This window comes from Homo sapiens, chromosome 2 (genome assembly GCF_000001405.40).
Source record: "Homo sapiens chromosome 2, GRCh38.p14 Primary Assembly".
Lineage (NCBI taxonomy): Eukaryota > Metazoa > Chordata > Mammalia > Primates > Hominidae > Homo > Homo sapiens.
This window is the reverse complement of record NC_000002.12, coordinates 196,171,220-196,189,284: the sequence shown is the minus strand read 5'-3', so window position 1 is coordinate 196,189,284 and position 18,065 is coordinate 196,171,220. Positions and strand designations below refer to the sequence as shown.

The 18,065-nt window shown below is 41.7% G+C and overlaps 1 protein-coding gene and 1 long non-coding RNA gene across 6 annotated transcripts in view, besides 3 other annotated features; one reads left to right on the top strand and one right to left on the bottom strand.

Moving 5' to 3' along the window:
* Positions 2,542 to 2,591: an enhancer, noted in NCBI's record as "active region_16898". NCBI's record gives its function as "activates an Ori minimal core promoter by ATAC-STARR-seq in GM12878 lymphoblastoid cells {active_cell/tissue: GM12878}" and the evidence as "EXISTENCE:reporter gene assay evidence [ECO:0000049][PMID:35858748]".
* Positions 12,725 to 12,984: an enhancer, noted in NCBI's record as "active region_16897". NCBI's record gives its function as "activates an Ori minimal core promoter by ATAC-STARR-seq in GM12878 lymphoblastoid cells {active_cell/tissue: GM12878}" and the evidence as "EXISTENCE:reporter gene assay evidence [ECO:0000049][PMID:35858748]".
* The window catches only part of STK17B (serine/threonine kinase 17b), a 42,901-nt gene continuing 37,637 nt past the window's right edge, over positions 12,802 to 18,065 (top strand). For 3 of the 5 annotated variants that reach the window (NM_004226.4, XM_047446334.1, XM_047446333.1), the window contains exon 1: positions 17,707 to 17,952. The gene's annotated coding sequence lies outside the window, so the exon portion shown is untranslated. Of the gene's footprint in view, positions 13,060 to 14,877; positions 15,037 to 17,706; positions 17,953 to 18,065 lie in introns of those variants that run through there. The other 2 variants (XM_011512170.2, XM_011512169.2) reach the window with 2 other exon arrangements.
* On the bottom strand, positions 16,437 to 17,746 carry LOC101927454 (uncharacterized). The gene is made up of 2 exons (XR_923737.2): positions 17,654 to 17,746; positions 16,437 to 17,380 (listed from the first exon to the last, which is right to left on the bottom strand). It is a non-coding gene; the product is annotated as an uncharacterized LOC101927454 (long non-coding RNA).
* Positions 17,412 to 17,641: a silencer, noted in NCBI's record as "silent region_12203". NCBI's record gives its function as "represses an Ori minimal core promoter by ATAC-STARR-seq in GM12878 lymphoblastoid cells {active_cell/tissue: GM12878}" and the evidence as "EXISTENCE:reporter gene assay evidence [ECO:0000049][PMID:35858748]".

Here is an 18,065-nt window from a genome sequence, read left to right as displayed (position 1 = left end):
CAAAAACACCAAGCAATGAGAAGAATATGAGGAAGCACTGCTGGTTCAGTGGCAGAATTCTCGCCTCCCACGCAATGAGAAGAATCTTTGCTTGATAGGTAAGCAATGTTTTCATCCTAAGCAATATAATTGTGTTATAGATAGTAAATCTGATATTTTGCATTAAAAGTAAATGGAGTTTTTTTTTAAAAAAAAAAAAAAAAAGAAGAAGAAAAGAGAATTATTGGTTACAGAGAAATATTTCAGTGACAGATTCCACCTAATAAAGTGAATAAAGTGCCAGAGATTTGGAAACCAGCTACTATGGTGCCATGCCTAGAAAGGTTCTGGAGTAGCTAACTCATTACACAGATGGGTGTGCAGAAATCTAAAGAAGCAGTTTCACACTAAGTAGTCAACTAAATTCATCATTCAAGCCACACATGACACTGTTTGTCAAGTAATTGATAATACATCTATTTATCTTTTTACTTCTTAGAGTAATACCTTCAGTTATCTTCCATTCCCAAGAACTAAATTATTCCACATAAAAGACTTTTACAGCTTATTATAACTCTCTAAGTGTGAAAAACCTAAACATTTTAACTCTTCTTATGGGGATCTTTTAAAAGATATACAAATTTCTATGATCTTAAATAGGACACACTAGAGAAAATGTATTTGTTGATAACTTAGGGTCACCCTTATAGACAACAAACAATATTATGCTGTAATAGTTGGGTAGATATTCAACTGTTTTATTCCTAAATTAAATGGTCCAGACTATGCTTTACTGTTAATACCATTCTAATTCTCCTTTCTGGTTCACTAAAATTTCATTTTTGCTTCATTTTGACTAAAGTAGCCCCTCCTCATTCTCTACTTTGCTGCCTTAAATTAGTAATATGCTGAGAAATCAGATACACAAACTCACCTAACCTTTGGCTATGTGAATAGAGAGGATGTTGTTGACAAGAACCTGAGGGCTATTCTTGGATACAAGATGAAAGTGCACATGTGTTAAAGAACAGTATGAAACAGTAACTTTCTCACCTGGTTGTCATGTAGCAGTAAAATTCAGCCCCACGCTTCAAAAGAAAAATATTGATTGGTGGGAACAGGAGAATGGCCTAGTGTTACAAACTACACGTACAGTTAAAAGGAACATTTGCCAATAACAAGTAGCAATTATCATCCACTCATCATTATTGCATAATAAGCAATAAATTTTAACATATTTATATAAAGAGAAGGAGAATCTCAGAATAGCTGTCCTTTAAGTAAATTAAGTTTTATTAATAATCAGGTTGGTCCAGAGTTGGAGAAAATTTTTGCAATCTATCCATCTGACAAGGGTCTAATATCCAGAATCTACAAGGAACTTAAACAAATTTACAAAAAAAACCACAAAAAACATTAAAATGTAGGCAAAGGACATGAACAGACACTTCTCAAAAGAAGACATTCATGCAGCCAACAAACATAAGAAAAAAAGCTCAACATCACTGAATATTAGAAAAATGCAAATCAAAACTACAATGAGATACCATCTCATGCCAGTCAGAATGGCAATTATTAAAAAGTCAAGAAACAACAGAAGCTGGCAAAGTTATGGAGAAATGGTAACGCTTTTACACTGTTGGTGGGAATGTAAATTAGTTCAACCATTGTGGAAGATGGTGTGGCAATTCCTCAAAGATCTAGAGCCAGAAATACCATTTGACCCAGCAATCCCATTGCTGGGTATATACCCAAAGGAGTATGAATCATACTATTACAAAGATAAATGCATGCATATGTTCATTGCAGCATTATTCACAATAGCAAAAAACATGGAATCAACCCAAATGCCCATCAGTGATAGACTGGATAAGAAAAATGTGGTACATATACACCATGGAATACTACGCAGCCATAAAAAGGAATGAGATCATGTCCTTTACAGGGACATGGATGGACCTGGAAGCCATTATCCTCAGCAAACTAATGCAGGGACAAAAAAACAAACACCACATGTTCTCACTTATAAGTGGGAGCTGAACAATGAGAACACATGGATACAGGGAGAGGCACAACACACATTGGGACCTGTCAGGAGGTAGGGTGGGGGAAGGGTGAGGATTAGGAAAAATAGCTAATGCATGTTGGGCTTAATACCTAGGTGATGGATTGACAGGTATAGCAAACCACCATGCCACATGTCTACCTATGTAACAAACCTGCACATCCTGCACATGTACTCTGGAATTTAAAATAAAAATAAATATTTAAAAAATTACGTTGGATTCTGTTATTTACAACCCAACAGTCCCAACTATTACCTTCTATAAAGCATAAAGCCCCAGGTGTAGCACACACAAAGTGCTCAAAATACAATAACTGTAGTGACAGTTGTCTGACCCTCTACATGAGGCAGGCACTTCCTCACTAACTTCAAACTAGTTCTGCTCTAATAGTCCAGTTCAAAAGGTGGACTGACTTTGACGAGGCTTTGTTCACCCCTCTGTTGGAGGTCTCTGTGGTTCTGACCAAAGAGGTGAAAGTCTTGCCCTTGGCTCTGACCCATTTCTCTATTTGTGTTAATTGCATTTGTGAGCCAGTTGTTAGTCTATTTCTATTCTTTGGGGAGGCTCCACTTCACCTAGTAGGTGGCCAGAAATGTAAGCCTCATTTTCTTGAGACCAGGGAGTAGTATCAAGTCAGATTCATGTAAGAGCCAGAAGCAAACTCTTGATCTTTCCTCTTCTGAGGGCTTATAACCCATTCAGAGGTGCCATGCATAGTTTATAAAAGCATCGCTTATCTTCACCAGAGTGACTCAAATGAAAAGAACTGATGATAGTTAACACCTATCAAGGATATGGAGCAATGGGAATTCTCTGCATTACTGGTAGGAGTGTAAATTGATGTAACCACTTTGATAAACTGTTTAGCAGCATCAATTACAGCCAAATATATGCACACCATGACTAGCAATTCCAGTTTCCGAGTGTGTACCCAACAGAAATGAGTGCTTATGTCCACCAAAACAAATGTTCAGGATTTGTTTCATAGCACTTTATTAATAAAACTGAAAACAATGCAAATGTCTGTCAATAGTAGAATAGATTGTGATTATAGTAATTCATGATAATATAACTCGGCGATGAAAAAGATCAATTGCTGCTGCAAGCAACAACGTAGATGAATCCACAGACAAAAGAGTCCTAACACAGCCGAGCACAGTGACTCACGCCTGTAATCCCGGCACTTTGGGAGGCCAAGGCGGGTGGATCATGAGGTTAGGAGTTCAAGACCAGCCTGGCCAACATAGTGAAACCCCATCTCTACTAAAACTACAAAAACATAAAAAATAAAAAAAAAAAGCTGGGCATGGTGGCGGGCTTCTATAGTCCCAGCTACTTGGGAGGCTGAGGCAGGAGAATCGCTTGAACCCAGGAGGCAGAGGTTGCAGTGAGCTGAGATAGCACCACTACACTCCAGCCTGGGTGACACAGCGAGAATCTGTCAAAAAAGAAAAAAAAAAAGAGTCCTAACGCAAAGAGGGCACACCGTTAAGGTTCCATCATGTGAACTTTAAAAACAGGCAACAGGAGCTGGTGATCATAGAAGTCAAAACCGTGCTTACCATGGAGATACTGGAATTGGGGAGGACTTCTCCATGGCCAGAAGTGTACTATTTCTTGATTTGGGTGGTGGTACAAGGGTGTATGCATATTTGTTATCAACTGCATACTTAAAATATAAGCACCTCTTGTATGTAAGTTATGGGTCAATAAAAAAAGACAAACATTTTAAAGTAAATTTGCTTCTTTTTAAGACAGGGTCTCACTCTGTCACCCATGCTGGAGCGCAGTGGTGTGATCATGGCTCACTGTAGCCTTGACCTCCTGGGCTCAAGTGATCCTCTCAACTCTGCCTCCTGAGTAGCTGGGACCACAGGTGCACCTCCATGCCCAGTTAATTTTTGTATTTTTTGTAGAGATGGGGTTTTGCCATGTTACCCAATCTGGTCTTGAACTCCTGAGCTCAAGCGATCCTCCCACCTTGGCCTCCCAAAGTTCTGAGATTACAGGTGTGAGTCACTGTGCCTGGCCAAATTTGCTTTATTAAAAAAAAAAAAAAGTGACAGATTAACTTCATATCCTGGTTCTGCACTTCATATCCTGGTTCTGCCACTTTGTTGGGTGACGTTGGGCAACCTCACCAGTGTAAGTCTCACTTTTTTCATTTGTAAAATAGGTGTTTTTCTTTCTCCTGCAGTGCTTTTTATGTTAAATAAGTCCATGTACAGCTATTAGGTTGGTGCAAGAGTAATTGTGGGTTTTACCATTACTTTTTTTTGAGACGGAGTCTCACTGTATCACCCAGGCTGAAGTGCAGTGGCACAATCTTGGCTCACTGCAACCTCTGCCACTGGGGTTCAAGTGATTCTCCTACCTCAGCCTCCCGAGTAGCTGGGATTACAGGCACCTGCCACTGCACCTGGCTAATTTTTGTATTTTTAGTGAAGACGGGGTTTCACCATCTTGGCCAGGCAGGTCCTGAACTCCTGACCTCATGATCCACCTGCTTTGGCCTCCCAAAGTGCTAGGATTACAGGCATGAGCCACCATTGAGCCACCGCACCCAGCCACCATTACTTCTAATAGTTCATTGCTTTGTACTTGTTAAGGGCTCAGTAGATGTTACTTTCCTTCCTCCTCCTGTCCCAGTGGACTGGCTTCATAGCTCCTGTCTATTGTCTTTGGGAGGCCACCAAATCTCAAGGCTATTTATATGGAAAGGGTGATTGAGCTACCCTAGCTCAAAACGTAATCCAGTCTTCCCTAGGTCAGACGACAAAACCACATATTTCTGCATGTCCCTTTGTCCATTCTTTCATCCATCCCATGAACACTTACCATACTTTGTGCCAGGTACCATAAGTGCTAGGAAACACTGCTGAATAAAGCAGCCATGTTTCCTGCCTTTGGGGAGTTTACAATGTCATGGGGAAGATGGGCAATAAACAAATAAGTCCATAATTACCAATGGTTATAAAAAGTGCTATAAAGAACAGGGAGCAGCAAGGGATGGAGAAAGCCTCTCAGAGGATGTAACATTTAAGATGAGAACTGAAGTTGGAAGAGCAGCCAGTCATTGGAAGATCAGAGGGAAAGCTCCCACAGTATCCTATCATTGCAGTCCTATAAACATCCAAAATAATTACAGCGTATACTTGAAAGACAGAATGGCTGCCAAGGAGAATCTTCTCACATGTGAACGTTGTAACATCTATTATGTTTCTCAGAAGAGTTTTGACCTACTTCCTGTTCCTTAGAAGTTAGATAACCAGATAAGTAGGTTCCCACTATAATAATATAAACTTATTTGAATAATGAGTTACAGAGATGGGACATAATGGAAAATAAAAGTGAGAACAGGTAAGCTGTACTTGGATTGTAGTGCAGTATCCTGAAAAGAAATGGGATTTGTAATCTGAGTTCAAATTTTGTCTTCACTCACTCCCTATATGGCCTTAAGTAAGTCACTCAAACTCTGTAAGCCTGGGTTTCCTCATCTGAGAAGTGAGAATAACCATTCAAGGTTGTGTTCCAAGAATTAAATAAAATGACGGATACATTGCACCTTGCGTATAAATGTATTGCCCCGCTTTACTTAGAACATTCCTCTGTGTCATTTCACTGTAAAAACAATTAATTATTTGTACTCTTAGTTCTTCATTCTTACTACAGAAATGTCAACTTTTAAAAACAGCAAGTACATTTCTTTCTCTTAAATATCTTCCTCTAACCTTAGCTCTTGGTTTGCAATTCTTAGTTCTGTGCTAAATCTTATTACTTTAGGTGGCAAATCATTCTTGATTTTCCTAAATCCCCACCTGAAACCTCCTCAGGCAATCTGGGCCACAGCAGGGAGTGAGTGTGGCCCGGCCAGATGGGGAGATGTGAACACTGTTTTGGGGCTTCTGGTGCTGCACACACCTGCAGGTAAGACAGCCGTGGGGCTTGGTCTGGCTTGCCATCTGGACTTTGGGTCCTCCAGAAAAATTATGTTTCCCTTTCTTCTGCATTGTTCGCAGCTGATCTGTCATAGGGCTCCTATAATGCTTCAGGCAAGGGGTGGGGTGAGAGAAAAGAGAAAGCATGTCTCAGGTAAGTGTGCTCTCTGGAGAGTCTTCTCTGTTAGGGGTCACTCGAAAGAGCCCACAGTCTTCAGCCCTAGACTGAACCCTGACCTCTGATGGACAAGTCACTCTCACGACCTCTGTTCTCATCTGTAAAATGGGATAACACTAGCTTTGCTAACAGTAATCCCCAGACTGTTGAGGCTCAGATAAGTCATTGCATGTGAAAGCTCTATATTGACTAAAATGCTGTACAGACATCAAGTGTTATTAATATTAATATATCCTGTGCCACATTCAGCATGTGTGATTGACCCAGAAGCTTTCAGACCTACTCAGGACTGAGCTACTAGAGGGGATTTTTCTAGGTCAATGAGTAACAGAAAGTGTCTCAAAGGTATTGCCTATTTTTACTGTGAAAGGACAACCTCCTCAGAGACAGGCTTAATGAGAAGAAGAACGCAAGGACTGGTGATTAAGAGATAATTATATACAAAACTAGCCTATTCTGATAATTTGTGTGATTTATTTGGGCAAATTATAAATGTGCTGTTAGCTTAGGTTAAACTAAACAAAGCTTACTGAATTAATGGCGACTGATCAAATCTTTATTTCTGCAATTTCCTGTTCTTAGCAGGAAGAAAAAAAAAAGGCCTGGGTGAGAGACAGGAAGAAATAAAGACAACTGATTTTATGCCTGTGGAACTTCTCTCAAGTAGACCAAGATAATCATCTGTCAAGTGCTCAAACATCTCATATTTTAAAAGGTGCATCTGTAGTTTAGGCTTGCAAGAAATAGCTTAACAATGGTCATTCCATGTGCCAGTTTTTAAATTTCTCAACCTGTTCTCAAGGTGGGGTGTACTAATTTATGCTTGTCTGTGGATTTCTACTATACACAAGCCTTTCTGCTGAGAAGTTAACTGTGGAAATTGGAGATGAGAGGAAATAGCAATGGGTTGCTCACCTTGTACGTTTTCCCTAAATTATTTCAAGACGCTGCTTCAAAGAATCCTTCATCTGTGGTAGTATTTCAACTGTAGAAGAAGATGCTTTTTCTAGTCAAAATTAATTTAAGTCCCTAATAATTCGAGTTAGCATGAAATGGAAAGATCTGAAGGGCCCAACTGACCTGCACACTTTTCACTTTTGATGTCTAGCAATAAGGTAGTAACTAGACTAGAATAGAAATGCGTTAAAATTTGCTTGCGAAATTGTAGAAGGCAGAACCATTCCAGGCACTAGCAGCTCAAACAGAAAAGCGTTATATTTTATATGTCGTATTAAATAATAATGAAAAGTAACCTAATAGGAACCAGTTCCAAAATCCTTTCTGGATAATTTGGTACATTTGAAATCTAGTATGCTTTTCATGCCTCTCTTAAGCACTCTATAAAACAAGATTCTCTCAAATGCGTTAGAAGATTTCTGTTTTGACTGGCTCAGCGAGGCTGGAGGTACTTGAAATGATTTATAATGAACTAAGCACATGGCATGGCGTCACCAGGCATTCTCTTCAGAGCCTCTTGCCCATTTTATAGAAATTGCACAGCTGGGAAGTAATACAATGAAAATCTTACACTCTGCTTGTTGAAAGTTGGATCACAATTCCAAAGTCTAAGTAAAAATGTATAGCCAGAGTAGAAGGCCAACATTTTTTTTCATCTTTCAAAAAGCTAGATGTTTTAACTTATTTGTGTTGTTGTTTGTTTTCTTTTTTTCTTTTTTTTTTTTTTTTTAAACAGGGTTGCCCAGGCTGGAGTGCAACGGCACAATTATAGCTCACTGCAACTTTGAACTCCAGAGCTCAAGCAGTCCCCCTTCTTCAGCCTCCTGAGTAGCTAGGACTACAGGCGCATGCCACCATGCCTGCCTAATTTATTTATTTATTTATTTATTTATTTATTTTTGTAGAGACAGTTTCACCATGTTGCCCAGGCTGGTCTCAAACTCCTGGCCTCAAGTGATCCTCCTGCCTCAGCCTCCCAAAATGCTGGGATTACAGGCATGAGCCACCGTGCCTGGCTGTTGTTCGTTTTCTATGGCAGATAAAACAAAGGGTACATTTATTTTGCTTTCTTTTTATTTTGGTTAACCATGGTTTATTTGTAGAATTTCAGAAAGGCTGATTAATATAAAAGTGGTCAAAATATATAACCACAGAAGCTAACTAAGAAATCAGTTTTTCATAGGACCAGTCAGAGTTCTTAATTGCAAGCAACTAAACATCTCTGGATATCTGAAGCTGAAAAACAATGTATTTAAAGGATATTGAGTAGTTCATAGAAAGGAGATCCAGGCTGGAGAACCAAAGTTAGGACAAGATAACTAGGAAAAACATCCAAAGTCATGTCTGTGGATTGTTCAGGGGAAGATGACGACACTATTGCCCAAACTCAGGATTCTACACTGCAGCTTGTGCCGTGGACACTGGAGATGCCACTAGACCTGCTGCTTCCAGGGCCTGATTGCTCCTTCCGTCTCAGCATTCTTCATGGCCCAGACTTACTAGCTCCAGATTCAAAGGTTCAAGTGCATATGTGTGATTGGTTGATAGAACCTAAGGTAATTGTTCCTCCCAAGCTACAAGGAGTATATTTGTCACTTTCACTGTCATGGACTCAAAAGGTGAGGAATTCTCTAAACACTGATGGGGTTAAGATACAGGGTGGCCATAGAGTAACAAATGTCCCAGTCTTGAAAGACTTGAAATCGGTCACTATGATGAGAATAGTGGTTCTCAAGCTGTTTGGTTCTCAAACTTCTACACTCAAATATTACTCAGGACCTCAAAGAGTTTTGGTTGATGCAGGTTATATCTACGTAGATAAGTAATGGTAAATATGGTAATCTAGTAAGTATAGTCCATAGGACATGGTTAGTATGCTCAATACTTACCATATTAGAAATTAAAGGAGAGGCAGGCAACATGCTAGATGAAAGATTCACTTTGTGATTAAAATCAGATGATATACATAATATTGAAACACAATTTTCTGGATCTCTTTCTGGATTCCTATTACATATACTTTTATCTGACTTGGAAATTTTGATTGGAGGTTGATATTGGATTGAACCTGCATCAAATTACTGGTACAATGGTGTTTTTAATAGACTGCAAAAATAATAGAAGGGCTATATTTTGATTATTTTATTAGTTCTACATTCTCTAAATTTGAATATTTAAAGCAATGGCAGACTCATTCATTTTTCTAAACAAAGCCTTTTATTTTAGAGCAGTTTTAGATTCATACCCAACCAATTTCCCTTTTTATTATAGGATCTTACATTAGCAAGGGTGCATTTGTCACAACTGATAAACCAATATTAATACATTATTATTAAATAAAGATTTCCTTAGTTTTTGCCTAGCATCATTTTTCTATTCCAGGTTCCCACCCAGCATACCACACTACACTTAGTCGTCACATCTCCTCAGGTCTCTCTTGGCTGTAATTATTTCTCAGACTTCCCTTGTTTTGGATGGCCTTGACAGTTTTGAGGAGTATAGGTCAGGTATTTTATAGAATGTTCCTCAACTGGGATTTGCCTAATGATTTTCTGATGGTTGCACTGGGATTGTGGGTTTTTGGGAGGAAGACTACACAGGCAAAGTATCATACTTATCATGTTATATTAAGGATACATAACATCATGACTTATGACTTATGACTACTGACCTTAACCTTGATCATCTGGCTTGAGGTAGGTTTCGTCAGGTTTCTCCACCCTAAAGGTGCTTTCTCCCCATCTCTTCCTATATTTCAGTCTTTGGAAGAAAGTCACTATGGGCAGCCCACACTTAAGGAGTGGGGAGTTATGCTCCACCGACTTGAGGGTGGAGTATCTGCATAAATTGCTCATATTTCTTCTGTATGGAAGATTTGTCTATTCTTTCAACCATTTATTTATGTCAGTATGAATTCATAGACATTTATTTTATACTTTGGGTTATAGTCTACTACTGCTTTATTTCTTGTGTTGCTCAAATTGTCCTAGCTTTGGCCATTGTGAGCTCTTGTAGTTGGCTCCTGGTTCCCTTCTCTTTGAATGCCCCCATAATTGCATGGTGGTGTTCGCTTGCACTTCCTTCTTTCTGGACTACAAGATACTTCAGGCCCATCTGTATATTTCCATCCTCAGTCACAGAAGCAGCCATTTCTCCAAGGAGCTTTGATTCCTTTTCTTGGAGAATGATATTAGAGACTAAGACCTCAGTGCTAAGCATGCTGTTGTTTCTGAGGTGTCATTACTTTTTAGGCACCCTCAGCTAACAGAGCAAGGAGCTATACATGTGTATGTCAACCCATGTATATACACATAACCTATAAATATTTCTATATGTAAACATCTGTATCTATATTAAGCTAAACAGGAGTTTCGACCAGATGTCTCTAACTCTGAGCCCTCTCCCTTTGCATTTTTTATATACTTGAAAAGTTATTTTAACAATAAAGCAATTTTGGAATGGTAGATATGAGAAGAAACAAAAGGCTGAAAAGAACAAGGACTCCAGGAACTAGATGAATAAAACACCCAAGAAGGTGTGCTCTTTTGTTAGTAGCTAGTTATTAAATATCCACACAGTAAAAGTCTGTGTAGGCTGAGTGTGGTGGCTCACGCCTGTAATCCTGACACTTTGGGAGGCTGGGGGAAGGGGGGTTGCCTGAGCTCAGGAGTTTGAGATCAGCCTGGGCAAATGGCGAAACCCTGTCACTACTAAAAAAAAAAAAAAAAAACAAAAACTGGGTGTGGAATGCACGCCTGTAGTCCCAGCTACTCAGGAGGCTGAGGCACGAGAATCACTTGAGCCTGGGGGGCAGGGGTTGCAGTGAGCTGAGATTGTGCCACTGCACTCCAGCCTCGTTGACAGAGTGAGAACCTGTCTCAAAAAAAAAAAAAAAAAGTCTGTGTAGTAGAGGATGGACTTGAATGACTGCGAGCAAGTATATAACTTCCACGTCCCTTAGTTTTCTGGTTTTTGTTTTTTTTTTTTGAGATAGAGTCTCACTCTGTTGCCCAGGCTGGAGTGCAGTGGTGTGATCTCGGCTCACTGCAAGCTCTGCCTCCCCGGTTCACGCCATTCTCCTGGCTCAGCCTCCCGAGTAGCTGGGACTACAGAAGCCACCACCACGCCCAGCTAATTTTTTTTTTTTTTTGTAATTTTAGTAGAGATGGGGTTTCACCATGTTAGCCAGAATGGTCTCAATCTCCTGACCTCATGATCTACCTGCCTTGGCCTCCCAAAGTGCTGGGATTACAGGTGTGAGCCACCGTGCCTGGCTAGTTTTCTTATCTTTAAAGGAGGAAAATATAGCACTGTAACTCATAGGAGGATGTGAGCATTAGATGAATTAACATAAGCAACACATTTAGAACAGTGCCAGTTTCATTATTTATGAACTGTTGTTGCCATGTACACTATGAGGCAAGTATATTATCTCCATTTTACAGATGAAAAATAGAGGCACAGAGATTTTCTAACCTGGTCAAGATCTCACAGCTGGTAAATTACAGAACCATTCTCTCATAATCTGTGACCTTTTAAAGGTTTCTGAACAGCTCTGAACTTACTGATTCTTCGGTAAAAGTGAAGCCATGAAATGCTGCTCTATAAATCTAAAGGAAAGGCCAACTACTAAAAAGATTCAAGAATCTTTGAATATTCTCAATGTCAGGAATGCTGTGATAATCAGGAATAGTACCATTTCCCACATTACTAATGCTTTTATGCCACAAAATGGCTCAACTTTCAGAGTAGATTGGCCTTCTCAATGTTCATGCTATCACCTTACACCAGTTGACACAAAGATCACTCCTAATGAGGGAGTTGCTGGGGATTAAAAGTTGGCTCTGCCTTATCTATATCTGCTACTGCCTGCTGTAAGAAGACTCACTACGTGAAGGGTTTCTGGAAGGGTACCTGCCATGTACCCTGGAGAATGTGATAGCAGGTTGTCATTCATGGTATATGCAGTTGGCAGAGGAAGTTTCTTAGCAAAGTGAAAAAGGAAGAGATTTATTAGGGAGAGCTAGTAGGCGTTATCTACTCAAATCAAATAGACAGCACCCTATATTTATACCCTGTATTTATTTCTTTGCACCACTTGATATCTACTTCCTTTAAACACTAGTGACTAATTTCTTTATCTCACACGGCCCCCTGGACTCCACCATTTGTTGACCCTTAGAGCTTCATTCCGAACTTGGGTGTCTCCACCAGATAGATACTGAAAGGAAAAGCAGTCACCTCCCTCTCCCCTTTCCTTTCCAATGACATTTTTCTCCCAATGATCCCTACTAGCATCAACCATAAGATGTGAGGAAAATCGAAAGTATCTTATAAAGCCATTTGACAAATATTTATATAGAACCCACAATGTCTTGAGCATCTTGCTAGTCACAGGGCGCAGTAGTGCACATGGGGAGCTGGCAAAGCACTGGTAAATAATAATAGCTTGTAGGAACAGAACCAAGGGTTTATTCTTGTTAGGCACTGTTCTTAGTATGCATTATCCCATTTCAATCTCATGGAGGTAGCTATTATTATTATCCCCATTTCACAGATGAGAAAACTGAGGATCGCCCAAAATCACACAACAAGGAATGGGCAGAACTGGGACTTGAAGGCAGGGCTGCCTGATGTCACACACTTAACCACACATATATCTTCTCTTTCTCTCTCACAGCTTCTCACGAGGTAGAACTTTAGAGCCTGGTGTGTTTGTGGCTGGAGCATAGCAGCTCTTCTACAACTTTACTGTAGTTTCTACTGAATATTTTGGTTTGCAAATATAAAGGATTCTCTGAAGCACAACCTTAAATAACGTGTGGTAGACACCTGGGAGAGGAAAACTGCAGACAGAAAAATGTGGCCGGATGCTCTGTGGGCGGGCGGCAGCGATGTTCGGCCAGGTGGCTCCAAGGAGAGGAAGCAGTGATGCATTGAGGTAAGAGAGCTGACAGATGAAACCACATGGACCCTAAGACAGAGTGGAAGGAGGGTGCCTTAAATATTGTAGGGTGTGCTCTTATCAGGTTATGAGAATGCAGTTGGGATACAGGTTTGCTTTCTCTTGCCTGTATCATCGGAGTGATGATTCAGATAAATTTAAAAATTACTTTATTCTGAAGTATGTCTGATGTGAAGAGGCTTAAATAATATCTTAGGATTAAGAGTCAGGAGACCTAAATTATTGTTCAGATATGTACCACCGAATTTAGGTGTGTGATCTTTTGCAAGTCCCTCAACTTCTCTCACTGTAGGTTTCTTCCCTTCTAAAACAAGGGAGTTGGGTTACTGAACTGCAAGAATTTTTCTAGCTCCAGACTGCTCTGATTGTCTCTAGCACTGGAAATTTAGACACAATTAGAAGGCACGTTTCTAGCCCTTCAGACCTACACTGCCTAACTTAGTAGCCACATGTGGCCATGAAACACTTGGGATGTGGCTAACATGACAAAATTTTCTATTTTATTTCATTGTCATTAAATTTATATTAAGAAACTGATACTGTATTTAGTTATTGAAAAACTTTATTTATTTTTGAGACAGAGTCTCGCTTTGTCGCCCAAGCTGGAGTGCAGTGGTACACAATCTCGGCTAACTGCAACCTCTGCCTCCTGCGTTCAAGTGATTCTCCTGCCTCAACCTACTGAGTTGCTGGGATCACAGGAACCTGCCACCATGCCTGGCTAATTTTTGTATTTTTAGTAGAGACGGGGTTTCACCATGTTGGCCAGGCTGGTCTTGAACTCCTGATCTCAAATCATCTGCCCGCCTTGGCCTCCCAAAGTGCTAGGATTACAGATATGAGCCACCACACCTGGCGTGAAAAACTTTAGTTTGTTCAAAACAACTTAGGAATGTGAATCTGCTTTTTGCAACAGTAAATTTTGTGAAATCTAAATACAGATCAAGTGTTTCCGATGAAAATTTGGCATCTGAATTGGGACATGCTGTAAGTATAAAATACTAGATTTAAGACAATATTAAAAAAGGAAGTAAAATGTCTCAATAATTTTTGTTGATTACATGTTGAAATGACAATGTTTTAGAAATATTGGGTTAAATAAAATAAATTGTTAAAATTAATTTTATCTGTGTTTACTTTTTAAAATATGACTAGTAGAACATTTGCCAATGTGCGTGGCATTTCTTTTGGACAGCTTTTACAGGACAGGTTATACTCTATAAACTGCAGTGAGTGGTTGGATTGGCATATTGGCCCTAGTTGATCATGGATGTTTTGGAGAGGAAAGCTGTGTCACCCTTTAAGGAAGACACTTGTACCAGTCTGAGTTATTACTCTCATCAGACAAAACTAGCCCCAATTAGCTTTGCTAATAGTGTTTCAAGAGAGTCAGGGGATGTGAGGTCTCTTAGAGTCTCTCTGGTTCTCAGTGCTTTCAAAATTGCAATGTGCTGTAGGCACCATGAGTAAATGCACTGCGACATCTCCATCTGAGTACACTCACTATTCCTACCTCCAGAGAGGGGATCTGTTTGGAGGAGCCTGTCTCCATTCAGTGAGCACCCCTGTTGGGTGGGGGGTTGAGCCACGCCCCTTCAGAGGCTGTTGGCCTTGCCTGCGTCTGGCTACCTTTAGCCTAGCCACAGGTTTCTGGTATATTCAGTTCTAGACAGGTAGTAGAGCTTGTTTTGCCTTTTCCACATGAATTCTTCAGAAGGAGGGTGTGTCAGTGGCAAGAGTTTTGAGTTTGAGGCCTTCTGCTCTGTGCAAAACCCTCCTTTTCTGCATCTACAGGGAGTAAACATGGAATCGGTGAGAATCACTTTCCTTGATCATTATGTGGTCAGTATGCGGTGACTGACTTGATGTGACTGGGGAAGGTCCCTTCCCTGGACAGAATATGGTGAGTGTCGTGCCATTACCGGAGAGGATCACCTTCCCTGGCCACATGTGGTAAGCAGTGACTGGGAACGATCATCGCTCCCAGTCAGTGTGTGATTACTAACCTGGAGTGATCCAGGAGGACCACTGTATTTGTTTGCTTGGACTGCCATAACAAATACCACAGAGCGGACAGCTTAAACAACAGACAGTTCTGGAGGCTAGAGGCTGTTGATCAAGATATCAGCAGGTCTTGTTTCTTCTGAAACCTCTCTGCTTGCTTTGCAAATGGCCACCTTCTTGTTATGTCCTCACAGGGTGGTCCCTTAGTCAGTGTTGTATGTGTCCTAATTTCTTCTTATCAGGACACCAGTCATCTTGGATCAGGGGCCACTCATATTATCTCATTTTACCTTAATTACCTCTTTAAAGGCCCTATCTCCACATACGGTCATACTCTGAGTTCCTGAGGGTTAGAATTTCAACGTATGAACTGGAAAAGAACACAACTGAGCCCATAACAACCGCCATCCCTGGTCGGAATGTGTCATTCAAGGATGGTCAACTTAATGAACTGTGTGGTCAGAAGCAATGACCACAGAATGACCATCAGGTCACCTGGAGATTTCCTACTCAAGGGAATGAGAGCAGGAACATATATCTTTGACACGGTGATGAATGAGTTTAGGTAAATGAGGTGGATGGAGGAATGTATTGACTTCTGAATTTTCCTGCAAGGCCACAGATGTACTGCCTCCTCCTCAGCACCAGGAATTCCTTGTTACTTGAACCACAGTGCCTGAGACCAAGTAAGTGTAGTTGAATGTCCTTGGGATAGTGTGGTAAGTCCTAGTTAACAAATCTGACATCAGGCACAAGGGTTAACAATCTATTTAGGGTCATAAAAGAAACACAAACTATCAGCCCTGCACCAAAGAACATAAGGCAGAGGTGATCAGGCTGGGAACAGAAAGTAGGAATCAGCAGAGTTCTGATTCCTGAAGAGGGTAACCTTCTTAAAGTCAGAAACTGATGAACAGGTATGGATGAGGAGGATGGTGATAAGCTGGAGCTAAGGCAGAAGCAGGAAAATGCAAGACATGACAATATCCCTAGGAGGCTGGCTGGTTACAGCAGAGGTATTGTGACCAAGAGGACTGGCTTACAGTGGTGCCAGAGAGAGAAAAGTCTGTGTCTAGGTGTGAAGTGATCTGGGACTGGATTAGTGACGGGGAGTATGGGGTGAGTGTGAGAAGATTGCTAAAAGCTGGCAATTGATGAAATGTTGAAATTAAGGAGGTCCAAAGTTAAACACACAACCCCAAAACCACCATAATGATGTAATCCTGTGACCCCCAAGAGGTTACTAGTTTTGGTACTGGTGCTGAGACCTCTGGAATGCAACACCTATGCTCATGAAAGAAAAGATGGGAACAGTCTCATTGCTTACGGATTCTTATACCCCAGAAAAGTTAATTCCAGTGTGTGGCATTTTATTTTCATCCTAACTTTAGGCTTCTCTAGTCAGCCCAATTGTTAGCAACAAGAAATTAGATAGATGGAAGCAATATTCTCCATTTGACAAGGTTTAGGGGCAAGACATTATTAACCTGGGAGGAGGAGTTAACCTAAGTAACAACAAACAGACTTCATAAAAGGGCTGTGATGCATTCTATACCTTTATCTTGGGGAAAATGCAGTAGGAAAGGGAAACAGCTAGCTTCACAGGAATTTGCTTGGCTTACTGGGATAGAACAAGAAAACCTGTCCTTTATATGCTAACTGAACATTAAGTCTTTTGAAAGCAAGAGGACGACTCCACTCCCAGTATCCTTTCCCACGGAAGGGTTTTCTGCAATTATCGTAAATGTCCTCTGAAAGCAATCCTAGATTACATAACTAATCCCATATATGTATGAGTATGTGTGTATCCTATACATATAAACTAGGATTATATATCTATGTAAAACATTTGTGTCTTGCACAGAACTTTGAAAATTTCCACTGTCTTCAAAGGATAACAGATCTTGAGTAGGTTGCTGAGGGCTTTCATCTTTTTCCTTAGCACTATAAATGCAAAATCGGCTATTCAGCCTATTGGGACCCTCCCTACACTGCCTTCAGTCAGTGCCTCAGAAGGGACACCATTCGCGACAGCGGACGTTAGCAGTGGGGTCTAGGTTCCATAAATCCCCAACTGATGTTGACACTCCGAGGAACCTCTGCCAAGTTGTAGCAAACTGGGTTCTCCACTTACAGGGTACGTTCCGGTCCTAAGGAAGACTCTCAAGAAGAGTCAGAAAATAGGTCTTTGGTAGGCACTGAAGTTTGGTAACTAGTCGCAGGCAGCTGGGACGAATTTTGCGGCTTCCTTCTCCCCGGTCTCCGGATATTCACACCTCTCGAACTGACCTCTCTGAAGGTGGGAAGGAGTACACAGAGCAGTAGTTCCAGCCCCGCGCGCCCCCTCTGCAGCGCCGCCCCCTCCGCCCCTCCCTCGCGGCAGCCCGAGTGCGCCCCACCTGCGCCGCCACGCCGCCGCGCCTCCCCGCCCCGCCTCGGGCCAGCCAGGCGCCGCACCCTCTCACCGCCGGGCCCCGCCCCGCACACGCGCCCCCGGCCGGTGCCCCGCCCCTCCCGTCACGTGACAGACCCACCCTCCGCACCCGTTCCGATTGGCTCTCCCGACCTAGGGGGAGGGATCTGGCGAACGGCGATGCCCCAGACGCGGCTGCAGTTTTCAAACCGCGACTGCAAGCTTCGGTAGTCCTCTCCGCTGCTGTCGCCAGGAGTCACTTCACGAGAAGCCAGGTCACAACCGTCGGCCCTTGTCTGGAAAAGTAAAAGTGGATCCTGCCACGTTCGGAGCTCCCTGGCGCCTCGCCCGGCTGGAGCTAGAGAACTCGTCCTGTGGCGGCCCCCGGCGTGGGGCGGGACAGCGGCCCCCTGGAGGGGGCAGTCCCGGGAGAACCTGCGGCGGCCGGAGCGGTTAGTGTCCTGCGGGATTGGCGGGTTGGCTCGGGGCTGCGATGGAACCAGCCGCCTCGGTACAGAGACCTCATACGTGAGGAAGGAGGACCCGAGGAGGGTTTAGGCGGTAC